Source organism: Homo sapiens, chromosome 2 (genome assembly GCF_000001405.40).
Source record: "Homo sapiens chromosome 2, GRCh38.p14 Primary Assembly".
Taxonomy (NCBI): domain Eukaryota; kingdom Metazoa; phylum Chordata; class Mammalia; order Primates; family Hominidae; genus Homo; species Homo sapiens.
Window position 1 is genome coordinate 75,277,725 of NC_000002.12, and position 353 is coordinate 75,278,077.

At 43.3% G+C, this 353-nt stretch overlaps 2 long non-coding RNA genes across 4 annotated transcripts in view; one reads left to right on the forward strand and one right to left on the reverse strand.

The window, feature by feature from the left end:
* TACR1-AS1 (TACR1 antisense RNA 1) overlaps nt 1-353 on the forward strand; it is a 125,490-nt gene that overhangs the window by 123,407 nt on the left and 1,730 nt on the right. The window lies entirely within an intron of this gene.
* LOC107985900 (uncharacterized) overlaps nt 1-353 on the reverse strand; it is an 85,220-nt gene that overhangs the window by 54,243 nt on the left and 30,624 nt on the right. The window lies entirely within an intron of this gene.

Sequence of the window (353 nt, forward strand, 5' to 3'; positions counted from 1 at the left end):
GGCCCCAGGAAAACAATCATATCTGAAAATGATATAATGAGTTACACATGTTTAAGCAGTTACTCTGTGTTAGGCACTGTTCAAGGTAGTCTATATATGCTATCTCACTTAATCCTGCAACAAACCCGTATTTTGGTTATCTGTTTTCACGGTATTGCTGCCTGACAGGCAACAACAAAGTCTCAGTGCATTCAGCAATAGACATTTATTGCTCATGTATCTGGAGTCAGCTGGGTGGCTCTGCTGATTGTGACTGGCTCACTCATATACTGGGTGTCAGCTGATCAAGGCTGGCCCCAGGTGGGACTATTAGAGAGACTCAGCTTTACCCTAATTTGCCTCTCTTCTTTCAG